Consider the following 20,079-nt stretch of genomic DNA (forward strand, 5'->3'; position numbering starts at 1 on the left):
TTCTAGGGCTGGGGAAGAGAAAGTACAAGGTAAGCCTGAAAACTGTAATTGTCCCATAAGTTAAGGAAGTCAAGAATGATGTAAATGGGTCTAAAGGACACAGGAACTAATGTGAGGAACTAATATGCTGGCCAAATATGAGATGGCTTATGCATCAACATAAATAATGTTAGCAATAGGCTATAATCATTCAATGAAATAAGAATTTGTTAATTTATATTGAATAAAGGAAATAAAGTAAATAGGGAAGAAGAAAAAGCTCTTACTGACAGTAGAATTTCAACAAATAAAGTAAAAATCATGAATGGATTTAAAAATAACTTTTGGCAATCATCATATTAGCAATTGATGGTATATGAATGTTAACTCTGGTAAGTGAGAGATGACAGAATGAACAGATTGACAAATCCTGTCTCCCTAAAGGAACTATAAAACTAAACAAAACAGTCAAAACTGACCATTTTAGAACTCTGGAAACTGACCAAAGGCAAAAAATAGTTTGAGAACTATTTATTCATGAAAAATGACCCAACTTAGAGTAAGAACAGTGGAAATCTTTGGCTTTAGTGCTGGGGTTGCTCTCATCTCCCCACATCTCCAAAAATAGAAACAACCAGTGGACTAGGAAGATATTAACAGGGAAATCTGGTAAATGAGACAGCAATAGATGAGCCAGATAGGATTCCACACAGCCCTGACTGACTGAAGACCACACACACATGCAGAAGAAGAGACAAAAGAGACTCTATAGAGAAATTTGAAACAAGGGCAGACTTCAAAAGTACTTGAACTTAGAATATGTTCCCTGACACACAGAGATCTATTGGCAGAGGATGAAGCTTTACTGGTTCAGTGTGTTCGGGTGCAATATTTAACCAATTATTGGCTGATCACTAAGCTAGACAGATAGAGGGATGACCTGTTTTAAAACCAGGTTTGAAAATAAAAACAAGAATAAAAAACTCAGCAGAGACATCAGAGGCTGCATAGTATGGAGGACTTAAGAGTCCATAGATGTAGTCCAGGCAAGTTAACAGACAAGTAGATCAAAAAACAAACAGCAACAACAACTGCCCTGGGGAAGAGAGATTAGAAACCAGAATTACTGCAGTATATTATCTAAAATGTACAGCTCTAAACAAACAAAAAAGAGATAAGAAAGAAACAGGGAAGTGATCTATACATACCAAAAAAAACCAAAAGCAATCAATGAAATCTAGCTCTGAGGAGGTCCAGGTACTGGACTGAATAGAGAAAGACTTCAAAGCAGCTATTTAAATAAGTTTGAAAAACTAAAGAAAATCATATTTAAAGAATTAAAGAAAAATCTAACGACAATGGCTTAACAAAGAAGAAGAAATAAAATCTGTAAAAAGAAATCAATAGGAATTCTTGAGTCGTAACATGAAATAAATGAAATGATAAGTTTATAAAAAGGCTAAATAGTAACTTTAAAATTCCAGAAGAGAAAAAAATCGGTAAATTTGTAGTTTAATATAAATGATCCGTCTTAAGAACTTGGAAAAAAATACTGCAGAAAAAGTAACAGAGCTTGTATATCAGCATGAGGCACAGAAGAATAGAGAAAGAGGTAGAAAAATATTTGAAAAAAATAACAGTTGAAAATGTCTCAGATTTGCATATTAATTTGAAAATCCAAATAATCCAATGAAACTTAAGGAAGACAAACACAAAGAAATCCTTATCTAGATACCATCAAGCTGTTGAAAGACAGGGACAAGGAGAAAATCTTGGAAGCAGTAAGAGAAAAATGATTCATCACGTACAAGAAAACAACAATATGATTAATGTTGCATTTAATGGAAGTTTAAAAAATAATGTAATAAGAATGAATAATCTTTATTTTATGTAGGTGAATAATTTCATGCATGTATACACAAGAGAGAGGACAGACAAAAGAGTGACAGAAACATTCCAAAATGTTAACAGTGCTTATTTCAGAATGATAGACTTTTTCATATTTATTATTGTTCTTTCAATATTTTTTAACATGTATTTATGTTATAATAAAAACTTAAACTTTCTAAACATAGAAATAGGGATGGCTCTTTATTTTAGTGTAGGTATCTGTAATAATTTTACTGCAGTACAGCAATATTAATGAAATATATATTAATTGGCTAGGATTAAATTTTAATCGTTAAACTCTCTACTACATTTCCTCATAATATATACTGCAAACATATTGCAAAGAGAGGCCCCAATATTTGAAGTACAATCTAAAATCTTGCTAACTCTTGAGAAGAAGCCTTCAAAACAAGCTTTTCTTGGCATGGGACTAATTATCCTTTCTTACCAGATTTGTGAACTAAAGTCTCCTGATTTTTAGGATTTCCAACTCTTTGAGAGCAGAGACCCTAAATGAATAAAGCTTATTTAGGGTCTTAAAGATTTAAAAATGTCTTTTCTAATCACCTAGGCTTCTTTTTTTTGTTTGTTTTACATCTCTTGTAACAGCTCCATGAAGCCTACTGATTTTTAAAAAAATTATTTTACTATTGTGGTAGATACTTGTTACTATATGTGTTATAATTCCTATAGGAACAACAATATGTTCAAAATCTGAGGAAGCCAAGTTAGAAGCAAGGGCAATTGAGCAAAGCTGTCATGAATAAATCTATCAGGGATAAAAATGAAGACAACTATTCTGACATTCAATTTTGAAAATGCTTTCTACATTCAAATATCTATGGAATTACACTAATTTGAACTACAAGAACAGCCATAAGTCAGCCTCAAATAATGTTTTTCATTGTTCAGCAGAAGTAGGAGTAGGATACGTATGGAGTGGTTTTTCAGTTAGTGATTGTCTGAGTTTGGGCTGCTGTAAGAGAATACTATAAACTGGGTGGCATATAAACAACAGAATTTTTTTCCCTCACAGTTTGGGAAGTTATAAACCTGAGATCAGGGTGCCAGCATGATTCAGATCTGATGAGGGCTCCCTGCCAAGTTGTAGACTGCTGACTTCCCACTGTACACTCACATAAGGGAAGGACAGTGACAGAGCCTCTGAGGTTCCATTATTACGGGCACTAATCCCATTCATGAGGGCTTCACCCTCACGACATGATTACCTCCCCAAAACTCCACTTCCTAATACCATTACATTGGCAGTTAGGATTTCAACATACAAATTTTTTTTTGCGAGGGGCAAAGGAAAACACAAACATTCAGTCCATTTAACAGTGATATACATAATTCAATTTTTATTATCACCAGTCTTTATCAATTTAGCTGTTCTCCTATTGTTCAAGAAATGTTATTTGGACAAGTTTTCCATAGGGCAACTTGACTTCCTCTTTATTCATTTAAAAGTTGTTGTCTCCTTCAAAGATATTTAGAGGTTGATCTGAAATTATAAAACAAGAGGCAACAAGTTACTATTCTTCTAAATAAGAATGCTAGCCTACATGAGGTTAAAGTTAAGACACGTGTGTGTGTGCACACACAAACACACACACAACCCACAAAGAATTGATCAATTAGGACAGATTTAGTAGGTGCTATGTATTAATATTTCTTTTTTGTGCATATGCAGATATTATGCAATTTTCTTTCTGCTCCCATAGTCTAGAATTCTGAGTCTCAGAATGTAATAATTTACTTATCAAAGAAAAAGAGTGTTAAATAACACCAAAATTAAAAAGGAAGGTATGATTACATATGGTTTTGGTTTTTGGAACACCTCTGGAAATTAATCTTTCAAAAGTTTTTAGTATGGATTCTGCTAAGTCAGAATTGATGATTAATGAGGTTTAGACAGAACAAAAGTAGGTTTTTTTGTATCATAGAATAATAGACTTGCTCAGTGTTATGAGCTGAATTGGGTCCCCCCAAATTCATATGTTCAAGTCTTAACCCCTAGTTCCTCAGGATGTGATTGTATTTGAAGATTGGACCTTCAAAGAGGTAATTAAGGTAAAATGAGGTCACATGGGTGAGCCCTAATCCAGTATGACTGGTGTCCTTACAAGAAGAAATTAGATCACAGACAACACAGACCAAGGGATGACCATCTGAGGGCATAACAAGAAGATGACTGCCTGCAAGGGAAGGAAGGAGGCCTCAGAAGAAATCAAACCTCCCAATATCTTGATCATGGACTTCTGGCATCCAGAATTGTGAGAAAACAAATTTCCATTGTTTAAGCTGCCCAGTCTGTGGTATTTTCTTTTGGCAGCCCTAGAAAACTAATACACTAAGCACAATAATAACTGCTGAGGGAAAATCTTTTCTAATATAGAACCCTAATTTCAAGTACTTTAAAAACAACACATAGTATTCATTGGCAAACAAAAATTGTGCTAATATAAATTAGTATTTATTAAAATTGGTTTAGAATAATACAGACTCAATCATTTGTTCCTTATATCATGCAGATGAAAACACATAAGATACACTTTAGGATACATTTTAATTTAAGTTTTTCAATGAACTTTTCCAAATAGAGAAATTATCAATAGCATATAAAGAGGAAAAAGGCTTCAATCATAAATATAAGTCTTGGTATTAGAAGAGTTACCATTAAATTATGTTGGAGCTAGTTATTATCTAAATGGTTTTTGTGTACTTTGCCTCTGGTTTTTCTAACTTTTTTTGTTATTATGGTAATAATATATTTTTGAGAAAAAACGGAGAAACTCAAGCCCATTCACTTGGATCACTGGGTCAAATTTGAAATAGTTTTGTGTTGGTGATGTCTAGATATTCCATAATAAAAATCAGGAGATATGACTTATCTTTGCTCCCTGGCATTTATTCCCATAAAAAATTTAGAATTATCTTTGGGCTACGCAGAAATGCTGTTTTCAGAATTGCTAGCTCATTCATGCTAGGAATTAAAAAGTGTTTTCAACATTATTTAGAAAGCACAGTGCTTTCTAGTCCTTTGACTTCATTGAGTTCAATTTTTCTCTCCATCATATTTGGACCATCCACTCTAACTGAGAGAAAGCACTGTTCCTTTTGTGCTGGATTTTCTAGTTGACTTTGATTTTAGTTATTTGTCCTGGCACCAGTAAGTGTTTTAGAACTGCCTCAATGCAACATTATTATATAACGAGTGCTTGTTTTTCTAAACCTTTAGAGAATGATTTCACTGCTATTACGTTAATGTTTTCTCATCAGACAAAGCCACCTACGTTTAATAAATATAAAGCATGTATCATCTGTCAGGCACTGGCGATTAAAGCAATAAGGAGTGATATTAATGCACGGAATCTAGTCTGTACTTAAGAGAATAAATGTGAACATCCTACTCTGTGTAACAAAAATGAACAGAAATCCTAGGAATGGAGGTTATCAATGAGCAGTATGTGAAGCTGAGATGTAATCAACCTCTTCCTTAGTGACAGACTATCTGCAGCATCAGCCAATGCTCAAAACCAATTCTGATAAACTCTGTAAATTTTCTATAGGAACAACTTTCTCATCAACCTCTCTCTTTTCCAGAGGTTAACATAGAATATTTGAAATACTGGGGATATGAACCAGTGACATAATATATGGTAATATAAATATTGGAAAAAATGTATTTAATTCTGCGACAGTGGGAGATTAAATTACTAGTTTTAGTAGGAACAATACTTCTCAACTTACCTGGTGAGCCCTGGAAGTCTAAAGTCATTTTGTGGCTTCAGAGGCAGGAAGAACTCCCAACAGCGATGTGTCGCTAGCATCTTCACAACCATGGTTGGGGGTGTCATCTGAAAGAAAGGCAAAATCTGTATTATTGAATAGTAGAAAACCTCTCTGCAGAGGGAAGAGCTGTTAAGTGCAGTGTTTGATCAGCTGGGAAAGTATAATAGAGCAAGAGGTGACTATTACATAAATTAAGAGCACGCTTAGTTATCGTTTTGAAGTAAAATAATTATCATATTTAAAAGGATAAACCATTAAGTGTTACCAAAACAAATAATACAACTTTTTATCAGATTATCAGATTTGCTTCCAGTATCTTAAAAGCCTAGAATTGTGATATTTATATTTTGATTTTAAAAATGGGACAAGTAAAACTCAATGGTAAGCATCATTGTCTAAAGATAGGAGAGTACTAAAAATTATATTTAGGGAATTGTTCCATTTTTGGCAGGATTGAGAGAAATAAAGAATTGTTGTCTGTGGATAGAGAAATGTAGATAACTAAATTTCAAGAAGGTTGAATATGACTGCATCTTTTAAGAGTAATTATTTGAACTTCTAGTTTCCCATGAAGCCTGTAAGAAGCTTGGGAGTCATTACTCCCAATCGCATAACAAGAAAAAAGGTGAATAAACTGAAAATCAACAACTCTTCTTAGGTCCATCAAAGAACTGATGTCATAGGGCAAACCACTACCACCAAAATTGGAGAGACAGACAGGCAGAGACAGAGAATTGCAACTTATAGAGCAGAAACCACTGTGGAAATCAGTAATGGGGTAGGGAAATCTAAACTGTAATTGACAAATTGCTGTAGGCTCAGAGTGGAAAAGTTTCAGTGTTAAAAACTCCAGTGGACCTACATTTTTGTTTTACCTTTAGAAGCCCTACCAAGTTATCACAGTGAAGACTGGAGCAAAATCATTCTGTGCTTTCTATCAGGAGGAGGGGAAAGTAGTCATTTTGAAGTACATATAAAATATTGTGTTCTTCTTAATGAAGAACACTTCAGTAGGGTTCCTATAAAATACCAGGGAATACAATGGTTAAAATTGCACACCAAAGATCTTATTTAAGAACTCACTAGGGAGCCCCAATGACAACAGGGGAGACTAAAACAAGGGCACCAGAAGAAATATTAGCCTCTGACACCTACAGCTACAGCAAACAATAAATACAGCTTAATCCCTCGCCAGATAAATATAAAACCTTACACCAACACTCTCTTTACCTCAATTCTTTGTGTCCACTATATATCATGTCTGACTTTCTACAAAATAATTACAAGGCACACTGAAAGACAAAAAACAGAGTCTGAAGAGACAGCAAGCATCAGACCAGACTCAGATGTGAGAGAGATGTTGAAATGATCACACCAGAACTTTAAAACAACTAGGATTAATGTGTTATGGGATCTAAAGGAAAAAGAGGACAACCTGCAAGAACATATGAGCAATGTAGGCACAGAGATGGAAGTTCAAAGAAAGAATTAAAAATGCAAGACATCAACAACACTGTAATAGAAACGAAGCATGTCTTTTAAGGGCTCATCAATGGACTGGACACAGCTGAGGAAAAAAAAATCAGTGAGCTTGAAGAAACATTAATGGAAACTTCAAAAACTTAAATGCAAAGAGAAAAGAATAAAAAAGACAGAACAGAATATCCAAAAATTGTGAAAGAACTACAAAAGATGTAACAGACATACAATAGGAATGCTAGAAGGAGAAAAAGGTGAGAAACAAGCAGAAAAATATTTGAAGCAATAATGACAGGATTTCTCACAACTAATGACAGAAACCAAAGCACTTATCCAGGCAGCACAAAGAACACCAAGCAGAATAAATGCCAAAAAAACAAAACAAACAAACAAAAAACCCCGGAATTTAGGCATTCATATTCCAACTGCAGAAAATCAAAGACAAATAAAAAATATTAAAAGAAGCCAGAGGAAAAAAATTGTCTATAGAGGAGCAAGGTAAGAATTACATTGAACTTCTCTTCAAAAGATATGCTAGCAAAAAGAGGGAGTATAATATTTAGTGTGAAAAAAAGAACCATCAACTTAGAATTCTGTATTCAGGGGAAAGTATCCTTCAAAAGTGAATGAGAAATAAAAGATTTTCTCAGACAAATAAAAATTGAGGTTATTTGTTGCCATTACAGTCACCTTGCAAAAAATTATACAAGAAATTCTTCAGAAAGAAAGAAAATGATATAGTTCAGAAGCTCTGATCTACGAAAAGAAAAGGGAAGCATTAGAGAAGAAATAAATACAGGTAAAATAAAACTCTTTAAAAAATTTTTACTCTTATTTGATCTAACAGATAAATTTGCTCATCTTCATTCCTGAAAGTTATTTTTTCTGGATATAGAATTCTGGATTGACAGTTCTTTTCATTTAGCACTTTAAAGACTTTGTTTAATTGTTTCCTGACCCCTTTAGAAATCTGTATTCATTTTAATTGTTGTTCCTCTAAACACAATGTGTCACTTTTGTCTCCTTGCTTTTGATATTTTTCCTTTGTGTTTGATTTTCAGTAATTTGAGCATGATGTGTCTGGGAATGTATATATTTAGTTTGGTGTTTGCTAAGCTTCTTAAATCTAGGAATTCATGTCTTTCAACAAATTTGTGAAGTTTTCAGCCAATATTTCTTTAAAAAAAATTCCTGCACCATGTCTAACTTCTCTTCTTTCCTAACACTCCAATGATATGTACATCTTTTTTTTTTCTTTTCAGATGGAGTTTCGCTCTTGTCACCCAGGCTGGAGTGCAATGGTGCGATTTCGGCTCACTGCAGACTCTGCCTTCCAAGTTCAAGCAATTCTCCTGCCTCAGCCTCCCAAGTAAGTGGGATTACAGGTGCCCACTAACACACCCATCTAATTTTTGTATTTTTAGTAGAGATGAGGTTTCACCATGTTAGCCAGGCTGGTCTCAAACACCTGACCTCAGGTGATCCACCCACCTCGGCTTCCCAAAGTGCTGGGATTACAGGCATGAGCCACCACACACCACCAGTATGTATATCTTTTGATATATTCCCATGGATTCCTCTCTTCCCATTTTTAAGGTATCTTTTTCCTCTCTATTTTATTGAATAATTTCCACTGGTCTATCTTGAAGTTCACTGATTTTTTTCTGTTATCTCCTTTCTGTTGTTGAGGCAATCCAGTGATTTTTTGAAAAATTTTCAGATACTGATATTTTTAATTTTTGAATTTCCATGGGATTGCTTCTTTCCTGAAAAGATTTCTCCATTAGTTTCTGGAAAGTTTGCCTTTGCCTCATAGAATATGGCTATAATAGCTTTCATGCTGTTACAGTCTTTGTATGATAATCCAACCTCTGTTTAATGTAGATTGGCAACTGCTGGTTGTCTATTCCATGAGAATTGATTAGATACTCCTGGTTGTTTGTATGTTGGATAATTTTGGTTCGTATGTTGGATATTTTGAATATTTTGTTGTAAGACTTCTGAGTCTTACAAAAGTTTTGTTAAAACACTTTGGAGAAAGTGGGTTTTTGGTTTTGGTTTTGCTTTGTTTTGTTTTGTTTTGTCTTGATTTAGCAAGTGATCAACCCAGTTAGGTTCAGATTGCAAGTTCTGTCTTACCATCTCTGGTGGTTTATTTAGTGTCAATTCAGTTCTCAAAGACTTTGCTATTCTGTTTGGGTATGCTTTTTGTATGTACCAATATGAGTTGTTCTGGGATTTGAGTAGTATATATATATTTTCATTCATTTCTCAAAGACTTTGCTATGCTTCATTGTGTATGTTCTGCATAATTGCAGCTAAAAGGTAAACCTGGTACTTGTATTACTTCAAGACCTCTTCTCCAGATCCTCCCTCTATGTGATTTCCTCTATGTTCTCTAGCTTCCAGTGGCTTCTTTTTCTATTTTCTCTGGCAAGAAAATAAATGGGTTATCTCACAGTTTTATTTTCTCATACTGCAGTAAAGGTTCACATGACTAGGAAGTAATAAGAGAAAAGAGAATGAGGATTTTCCCCAAACTATTTGCATAACAGGGGTCATTCTTTCATGCTCTGCTATTCAGAGAAGTAAGTCTTCTCTCAAACTTAGTTGCCTGTGCCACATTGGCTGTAGCAGGGCAGATATGCTTTTGAAACTGGACTAGGGCTAGGGTGAAGACAGCAAACTAAAAAATAGGAAGATTCCCCGTATTCCCTGGATTTCCCTTCCCCTGTCCTCTGGCCAGAAAGATGGGCTTTTTTAGGAGTCCAGGAAGAAAAAAACACAAACAAACAGAAAATTTACCATCACGATCACAATAGTCTTTCCTCAGTTTGACATTTCTTTTCAATGTGTTATTTACTTTTCAGAGTCCCAAGATTTTTTTTAAGTGTACGATTTGGTGAAATGAAATACATTCAGTTTTTTGTGCAACCGTTACCACCATCTATCTCCAAAATTCTTTTTATCTTGCAAAATGAAACTCTATACTAATTAAAGAATAACTCCCCATTCTCCCTCCTCCAGCCCCTGGAAACTACCATTCTACTTTCTGTTTATATGAATTTGATTGCTCTATGTACCTCTTATAAAGTGAATCATGTAGTATTTATCTTTTTCCGGCTGACTTATTTCACTTAGCATAATATCCCTAAAGTTCATCTACATTCCATTGTATATATACACATACATGTAAAATGGAATATTTATATATATAAGGTACACTTGTATATTATATATACTATATATTATTTTTATATATTATATATTACTTATATAAATTATACATATATAACATATATAATATATCATATGTATTATTTTTATATTATATATTACTTATGTTATAGATTATGTATTTAATATATTACTTATATATTATAGATTATATAGTAATTATACTATATAATTATATTAAATTATATAAAATAAAATATGAAATATATTATAATATAAATATATTAAATATATATTATATAACATATAATTACAATTATAGATAATTATATAGTATGTTATTTATATCATATACCATATATAATTATGTGTTATTACATTATTCTAATAATTTATTCTGTAAGATAGTATATATTAATTAATATATTAAATTAATAGTTATTACATAACTATGTATAAATATATAATATATTATATTAATATCATGTAATTTATAGCATATCATATTAATATAATATAAATTTATAGCTTATTATAATATAGTATAAATATAAATATATATAATATAAAATTATATAATTCTAATATAATATATGATTTATATTAATATAATTATACTATAACATATAATATTAATATATAATAATATATAACATAATGGTAAAAGTAGATCTACCATTTGATCCAGCAATCCTCCTACTGGGTGTCTACCCAGAGGAAAAGAAGTCATTTTATGAAAAAGACATTTGCACATGCATTTTTATAACAGCACAATTTGCAATTGCAAAACCAGCCCAATCAACAAGTGGATAAAGAAAATGTGGTATATATATGCCATGGAATACTACTCAGCCATGAAAAGGAAATAAAGAAATTAAGAAAATTAAGAGATTTTTTAAAAAAATGGAAATGAAAACACAACATACTGAAATATATGGGATACAGCAAAAAACAAAAATATACACGAAATAACAGTACTAAGAGGGACGTTTATAGCAGTAAACACCCATATCAAAAAGTAGATAGAGACCAGCCCGACCAACATAGTGAAACCCCATGTCTACTAAAAATACAAAAAAATATTAGCCAGGCATGGTGTCATGTGCCTGTAATCCTAGCTGCTCTGGAGTTTGAGGCAGGAGATTTGCTTGAACCCAGGAGGCGGAGGTCGCAGTTAGCCGAGATTGTACCCCTGCACTCTAGCATGGGTGACAGAGTGAGACTCCATCTTAAAAAGGAAAAAAAACAAGTAGAAAGACTACAAATAAAGAGGCTAATGGTGCACCTCAAGGAACAAAAAAAGAAAGAACAAACCAAACCCCAAATTAGTAGATAAAAAGAAATAATAATAATAATCAGAGAAATAAATTAAATTGAGACTTAAAATCTACAAAGGAGCAACAAGATTAAAAAGTTGATTTTTTGGAAAGATAAACCAAATTGATAAACCTTTAGCTGGACTAAGTAAAAAGAGAGAAAACTCAAATAAATAAAATCAGAAATGAAAAGGTAGACATAACAATTGAGACCACAGAAATACAAAGAATCATTTAAAAATATTATGAACAACTATAGACCAACAATTTGGAAAACTTAGAAGAAACTGATATATTTCTAGTCATATACAAACCTACCAACACCGTGCCATGAAAAAATAGAAAAGTTCAACAAATCAATAACAAGTCATGAGATCAAAGCCATAATAATAATAAGAAAAAAAAAAACCTCTCACTAAAGAAAACCCCAGGACCTGATGCTTCACTGCTGAGTTCTACCAACCATTTAAAGAAGAACTAATGCTAATTTTATTCAAACTCTTAATGAAATTGAAGAGGAGAGAACACTTCTAAACTCATTTTATAGGGCCAGCATTACCCTGATACCAAAACCAGACAATGAAACAACAAAGAAAGAAGACTCCAGGCCAATGTCACTGATGAACAAAAATGTAAAAATCCTCACCAAAATACTAGCAGACTAAATTCAACAACAGATTAAAAGATTTTTCACCACAATCAAGTGAAATTCATTCCAGGGATGCAAAGATTGTTCAACATGAGCAAATCAATAAAAAAGTGATATATCACATTAACAGAATCAAGAACAAAACCCATATGATCATGCCAATAGATGCTAAAAAATCATTCATAAAATTCAACATCGTTTTATAATGAAAAGCCTCAACATACTGGGTATAGAAGGATCATACTTCAACATAATAAAGGCTATGTATGACAAATCCACAGCTAATATGATACTAAATGGGGAAAAATAGAAAACATTTCCTGCAAAATGTGCAACAAGGCAAAGATGTCCATTTTCTTCACATTTATTCAACATAATACTGGAAGTCCCAGCCAGAGCAATTAGGCAAGAGAAAGACATATGGGGCATCCTAGTTGGAAAGAAAGAGGTCAAGTTAGCCTTCTTTGCAGACAATATGGTTTTATAGTTAGAAAAATCTAAAGACTCCACCAGAAAACTGTGAGAACTAATAAATACATTCAGTAAAGTTACAGAATACAAAATCAACATATAAAAATCAGTAGCATTTATATAACCCAATAGCAAATAACCTGAAAAAGAAATCAAAAAGCAATCCAATTTGCAATAGCTATAAAGAATATAAAATACTTAGGAATCAATTTAACCAAGAAGTGAAAGATGTATACAAAGAAAACTATAAAACACTGATGAAAGAAATAGAAGAGGACAAAAAAAAAGAAGTATATTTCATGCTCATAGATGGAAAGAATTAATATTGTTAAATACCCAAAGCAATTTACGGATTCAACGCAATCTCTTTGAAAACACTAATGACATTTTTCACAGAAATAGAGATAACAATCATAAATTTTAGATGGAACAACAGAGGGCCCCCAATAGCCAAAGCTATTCTGAGCAAAAGAACATAGTTGGAGGCATCGCATTACCTGACTTCAAAATATACTACAAAATTATAGTAACCAAATCAGCATGGTACTAAAACAGACACATAAACCAGTGGAACAGAATAGAGAACCCAGATATAAATCCATGCATTTATAGCCAAGCCACTCTCTGCAAATACACCAAGGACATACATTGGGAAAAGACAGTCTCTTCAATAAATGGCACTGGGAAAACTGGATAACCACATGCACAAGAATGAAACTAGACTCTATCTCATACCATATAAAACACCAAATAAAAACAGATTGAATAACTAAATGTAAGACCTGAAACTATGAAACAATTAGAAGAAAACACTGGGAAACACTCCAGGATATTGGTCTGGGCAAAGATTTTTGGGTAAGACCTCAAAAGCACAGGCCACCAAAGCAAAAATATAGACAAATGGGATTATATCAATCAAAAATCTTCTGCCAGCAAAGGAAACAATCAACAAAGTGAAGAGACAACCCACAGAGTGGGAGAAATATTTTTAAACTATCCAACTAATAACGGGTTAATAATCTAAATATATAGAGCTCAGACAACTCAATAGAAAAAAACCAACTAATCTGATTTTAAAAAATGGGTGAAAGAACTGAATAGACATTTCTCAAAAGAAGACATACAAATGGCCAATATGTAAATAAATGCTCAACAACACTAATAATCAGAGAAACATAACTCAAAAAGAAAATGAGATATCATCATACCTCAGGCAGAATGGCTTTTATCAAAAAGACAGGAAATAATGGATGCTGGCAAGGATATGAAGAAAGGAGAACCCTCATACACCATTGACAGGAATATAAATTAGGATAGTCATTATGGAAAACTGTATGGATTTGCCTCAAAAAACTAAAGATAGTATTACTATACAATTCAGCAATTCCACTTCTGGGTATATATCCAAAAGAAAGAAAATTATATATCAAAGTGATAGCTGCACCATGTTTATTGCAGCACTATTTATAATAGCCAAAATATGGAAGCAGCCTAAGTGTCCCTTGATGAATGAATGGGTAAGAATATGTGGTATATATACGCACACATTTTTAGCCATAAAAAATGAAATCATGTTATATGTAGTAACATGGTGGAACTAGAGGTCATTATGTTAAGTGAAATAAGCCAAGCACAGAAAGACAAATATCCATGTTCTCATTCATATGTGGGAGCTAAAAATGTTGATACCATTAAGATAGAGTGTAGATTGGTGGTTATCAGAGGCCGGAAAGGGTAGGGGAAAGGGAGGATAAAGAGAGGTTGATTGAGTACAAATATACAATTGTAAGAAATAAAACCTAGTGTTTGATAAATCAATAAGGTGACTATAATTTACAATAATCTATACATATTTCAAAATAGCTAGAAGAGAATAATTCAGATGTTTCTGGTATAATAAAAAGACAAATATTTGAAGTGACAGATATCCCAATTTTACTAATTTGATCTTTACAAATTATATGAATGTACTAAATTATCACATGTACCTAGAAACTATGTACATCAATACAAAAACAAAGTTTAAAAACAATGTTAATTAAAATAACAATGAGATGCCACTTATCAAATACTAAATTAGCAACATTATAAAAGATGAAACTATTTAGTATCAGTGATTATTCAGTAAAATACATTCTCATTTATAACTCAGAGGAGTAAAATTTGTTATAGCTATTGGAAAGTCACTTTGCCAGATGGTGTTCATTGTATTGTCACAGTAATTCCATTATAAGTTATTTCCAAAACAGATTGAGTTTTATGCACTGTTTTGTCCACACTGTATATCATAATAAAATTATTTTAAAAATAATTATAAATGTACAAATATAGATAAGATTCAAGGAACTTAGCCACCATATTAAAATAGAATGTAATGAAATTGGAAAACAATTATTGTTTATTGGGTTTGTAATGAAACTGTGGACCAGGTATTTGACTGATTATTAGAAGAAACAATACTTTTTATTTTAGTCTTCTTTGCTTGGTGCCTCTGCCATGAACTAAATATGACACTGAGGATGAAATAAGTGAGAATGTATATTCCAGTTTTCTTAATTTTGAGTCATATTTTATTTTATCTATTCCCCGTTTGTTTCCCTTTCGCGTATTTTGTATAAGAGGCTGAGACACATCTCCATCGAGTGGGAGTTCCTAAATATCAGCGGTATTTCCTCATATTCCCACCCTCTCCATGGAGTGCGGCCCCTGGAGTTGCACAGACCTGAGGTTCTTGTCCCATGTGGGTCCTCTCTCTTGAGGCAGGTCTCCATCTCATGGAATAAATTCTCCTCGAGAGAACCCCTCCTTCTGGTTGAAACTGAGAATGGATGCTTCATGGTTAGGATTCAAATTCAAATGGCCTATCCCTTATATTAGGACACTTAATGCTAAGGTTTGACACATATTAATCCCTCTGAGCTAAAATCCAATGGCTCTTTCAGCACCTACCCCTGCTAGTGAATTTTTTACATTTTTAAAATTTATCCTCCTTTTTCTCCCTTGATATTCTTCCACTTTTATTACCAAGTTCTTTACATAGTATTTACTATGTGCTGGCCATTTTTCATACAGATGATTAATTTATTTAACTATCTTAACCTGATGAGGTAAGACTATTATTATCTTTACAAATTAGGAAATTGGAGTTTGGAAAGGTAGTTTCTAGCCAAAGGCCACACAGCTAGTAAGTTATATAAGTGGTGTTCAAACCCAGGAAACTCTTGTTCTTAATCCTCCACCATGCTTCTACATTTTCTATTGGCTATTTCTGCAGTCTAGATTCTGAACCAAAACATACAATTACCTTCCTTCTATCAGCTAAGATATTTGCCTATCTGACTCATCGTCTGTATGGCAAGCTACAGCTTCTAAAAGATTACATTTGTGTAAATGGAAATTGTGGATTGGCTGATTCTTGATCATTCCACATGTTTCTGCATTTGGCCTGGCACTTTCCAATCCATCTCACTCAAAGTGGCAAGTGCATTTCTTCCATTCTGCAAGAATCCCCCATCCTGTGTGCCCTTGGTGGCAGGTAACTCACATTTTATACAATCCTAGTGGGGCTCTCACCTCTGAGGGGCAGATGTTTTTGTTTCTGAACTCGGCACCACGTGAGAAATAGAATAAACAGAACCAGGAGAAGGAGCCCAAAGATACTGGATAAAATAAGTGCTAAATGACCTGTATAGAAATTAAGCATTGATAAGTATTAAACTAGTAGATATCAATTGTGGGTTTATACATTGTAAAAAAAACTGGTTCCCTAGTTGCTGAGAAGAATAATGGCTATACATTTCAACATATTCATGAACAGTACGTAATCTTTGAGAGCTATTTTAGATGAAAACTATCTTGGAACAACTGAATCCAAATCTTTCCATAATTCTATTGCCCTAAATTACTTCCAATTTTATACAAGAGATTTGATAACTAAACCTTTCCTCTTGCATTGCATTCACTACTAAAACACCAGAATCAGAAAATACTAGGGCTTGAGCTGAGCTGTTTCTTTCTTTTTTTTTTTTTTTTGAGATGGAGTCTCATTCTGTCACCCAGGCTGAGTGTACTGGCACGATCTCGGCTCACTGCAATCTCTGCTTCCTGGGTTTAAGTGATTCTCCTGAAGCTTGAGCTGTTTCTGCCAGTCTCATAAAGAATATTTGAGAATCTAGAAAGATTATCTATGAGGGTACCATGAGAGTCTTATCCTTCTCTGCATGTAAAAAGGATTTTTCTAGAGAGAAGGACTGCATAGCAAAGCAGTCACAGAGCTATTGATACCACTGGCTGCGACCCACAGACTCATATTTCTGCAGTCCCCAGTCTTCTTTGATTATCATAGCAGTTTCTGCCCTCCCTTGACCTTCCATGTAGCCTTAGGTATTTGTGTCAGCACTGATAGGCAGAAGACTATACCTGAGGAGGCATTCAGTGATTTCAGCGACTGTCCTGAGAGAGAGAGAGAGAGAGAGAGACGTAAATGAACGAAAAGGAACTGGGTATTTCTTTTTACATCTCCTGCGATTATCGGATGTCATTTAAATATCCTTTTAACATCTCCTGTGAATACTGGATGTCATTTAAAATATCAGTCAGAATCCTCTTGCTTCAAAGTCTAAGGCCAAATCCACCTTTCTTCCCTCAAAATTATGGGGGCTATTTTAGATAACAGTGGAACATTATCTTATTTAGTTGTGGAAAAACGTTAGTTTAACATAGCCTTTCATTCTTCAACAAGAAATCCTAGTATCTTCAGCTCAACTCTCTGAGTGAGCCTGTTTCCCAGTGTTCTCTACCATTAGTGGGAGGCTCAGTTTAAGTGCAGCCTTTTCACACTTACCAGAGCACCTCACGCCAGCATCTTCCTTGTGTCCACAGTCACTCTGTCCCCAGGGTTTGGCGTGACAGTCCCATAGAAATGACTCATTTCCTTTGCACCGCATGTCATCCAACCAGATGGTTCCAGTTCCCTGGCCAAACGAAGCGTCCCTCAGGGCAGCCAGAGCAGAGCCACAGCCCAGCTGCTGACACACCACTTCCGCCTCGGCCAGGTCCCAGGAGTCATCACACACTGTGCCCCAGGAGCCTGCGTGCCAGATCTCCACTCTCCCAGAGCACTCGGTGTCTCCTCCACGCACTCTTATTCTATCTACAAAGGCACAAAACATGGCTGTCTTTACTCCTGAAGGAGGTTGTGGGAGAATGCTGAGGTAGAAAAACTTGAAAGTAGCAAATGTGCTTGATGAATATGGGTGTGGTAAGGAAGGCAGAATTTCAATGTTACATAGATTAGACAAGAACCTGTGAAGTGAATAAACCCCTATACATGACTGTGGTTTGTCCTAGTCACACTCAAGGGGTGAAACATCTCCAGCGAGGCCAAACCAGATATTCATTTTCTACTCTAGATGTTTGAAAACAAAACATATTGATTTCATTTTCCAAATTTCAGTGTCCTATCTGACCCAAACATCCTATCTTGCCCCTCTCATTTTCACAATTTCTCCAAATATAACTAATGTTCATTTGGCTCAAGTTTGATCTATATAAGACCATTGCTGCTTCTGTGCCCTCCAATTATCAGTCCTTTCTTGCCTTCACTTTACTCCCTGTAAGTATGTATACTAAGATCATAACTACAAACACTCTCTTTCCCAAATGAACAATGCTTTGGCACTAGTGACCTCTCGTCACATGGCTGTGTACAAATGCAGGATAAGCCCAACTCTCTACCTCCTTTAAGCCGGTTCCTGAAATACTGAGTTTCACTGCAGATAATTATAACCGGGGTCATTTTAAACTTGCTGCCAAAAAAGTCTGCAGGATCCTCAATATTTTAGAATGATCTTATCATTTTTATGTTTCATTCTTTATTATTTTGTTAAATGTTTTTTCATATTCTAAGCCTCTGCCTTACCTCTGCCCACCAACCACATGAAGACCAAAAGAGAATCTCGGGATTTCTCTATTGGATTTTAGTTCCCGTAATAGTATAGGAAAAGTTACAGTTTCAGTAGATAATTAACTTTTAGGTAATTTGGCTTCTATTCAAAAGGGTTTTTTTGATCTAAACGTCTCATCCCCCGGTCTGATAAGTCATCCCCAAGTCCTCAAACCTGATAACTTTCACATGCACCCTTTAAAAAATTTCCTTTCTCCTTGTCATAAGAGCCCCTCTCCAGTTACCGTGTTAACTCTTTTCTCTCTCTCATAGCCAAACATCTTGAGTTTATTTTTTCTCGTCATTTTTGTAAATCTCCTGCTCATTAATAAATACTTTTAGACTAGCTTCTACCTCCTACCAATACAGAGTGCATCATTGAATGGCCTATATAATAATAAATTCAGAGTATGGTTTTTAATCCTACTTCTTTGCTATGGTTTGGCTGTATCCCCACCCAAATCTCAAACTGTAGCTCCCATAATTCCCACGTGTTGTGGGGGGGACCTGGTGGGAGGTAATTGAATCATAGGGGTGGGTCTTTCCTGTGCTGTTCTTGTGATAGTGAATAAGTCTCACAAGATCTGATGGTTTTATACATGGGAGTTCCCCTGCACATGCTCTTTTGCCTGCCACCATGTAAGACGTGACTTTGCTCCTCCTTTGCCTTCAGCCATGATTGTGAGGCCTCATTAGCCATATGGAACTGTGAGTCCATTAAGCCTCCTTCCTTTATAAATTACCCAGTCTCTGGTATTTCTTTATTAGCAGCATGAGAACTGACTAATACATTCTTTCATCCTTTCACAAAATTGACTCAAGAAAATGAGAATAAGCCAATAGTCCTGGACATTCTTTTTAAGTATTAACAAATTACTACCCAAAATAGCTATAGTTATTCTCTTTCAAATATTGAAACACAATGATTTTATTCCATATACTATTAAAGATCATAAAAGCTGGCAGAATTCATCCTAGTTTATATTTCAACAAATCTCCAATGCTAATATCAACAAATATAAAAAGAGCGCTAAATAAGATCTACTGCATAGTATCATTCATATACATATAGATGCAAATTTTTAATATAAAATATTGATAAATTAAAACTTAAGATAGTTGAAATCCAAAATTTCAGGTAATATAATTGATCAAATAGGAAAATAGATTTTGGGAAGAAAATATTGAGAAATATGCTTAAAATAATTTTCTATATATTTAAGGATATTTAATGTGATGTTACTTAAAATGGAAAAATAACTTGAATTTTCTAGATGGCCAATGACAGGGATTTGGTGCATAAGATTATAGTATATCATATGGTAAAAAATATATATGCTTTAGCTTGAGAAAATATTGCTAAATCAAAAGAGCAGGGA

At 34.0% G+C, this 20,079-nt stretch overlaps 1 protein-coding gene across 11 annotated transcripts in view, besides 1 other annotated feature; it reads right to left on the reverse strand.

Annotated features, from left to right (window-relative positions):
- CD163L1 (CD163 molecule like 1) overlaps positions 1 to 20,079 on the reverse strand; it is a 125,386-nt gene that overhangs the window by 32,990 nt on the left and 72,317 nt on the right. For 7 of the 11 annotated variants that reach the window (NM_174941.6, NM_001297650.2, XM_011520617.3 and 4 more), the window contains 6 exons: positions 17,600 to 17,908; positions 17,176 to 17,208; positions 16,330 to 16,440; positions 15,479 to 15,574; positions 5,623 to 5,729; positions 3,203 to 3,373 (listed from right to left, as the gene is read on the reverse strand). In NM_174941.6, coding sequence (NP_777601.3) covers positions 5,647 to 5,729; positions 15,479 to 15,574; positions 16,330 to 16,440; positions 17,176 to 17,208; positions 17,600 to 17,908 — 632 coding nt within the window. In that variant the 3' untranslated portion in view covers positions 3,203 to 3,373; positions 5,623 to 5,646. Of the gene's footprint in view, positions 1 to 3,202; positions 3,374 to 5,622; positions 5,730 to 15,478; positions 15,575 to 16,329; positions 16,441 to 17,175; positions 17,209 to 17,599; positions 17,909 to 20,079 lie in introns of those variants that run through there. The other 4 variants (XR_931282.3, XR_007063068.1, XR_007063067.1 and 1 more) reach the window with 2 other exon arrangements.
- Positions 17,038 to 18,237: an enhancer, noted in NCBI's record as "P300/CBP strongly-dependent group 1 enhancer chr12:7521391-7522590 (GRCh37/hg19 assembly coordinates)". NCBI's record gives its function as "activates an origin of replication core promoter dependent on BRD2, BRD4, P300/CBP, MED14 and CDK7 cofactors, with strong dependence on P300/CBP, by STARR-seq in HCT116 cells {active_cell/tissue: HCT116}" and the evidence as "EXISTENCE:reporter gene assay evidence [ECO:0000049][PMID:35650434]".

Source organism: Homo sapiens, chromosome 12, assembly GCF_000001405.40.
Source record: "Homo sapiens chromosome 12, GRCh38.p14 Primary Assembly".
Lineage (NCBI taxonomy): Eukaryota > Metazoa > Chordata > Mammalia > Primates > Hominidae > Homo > Homo sapiens.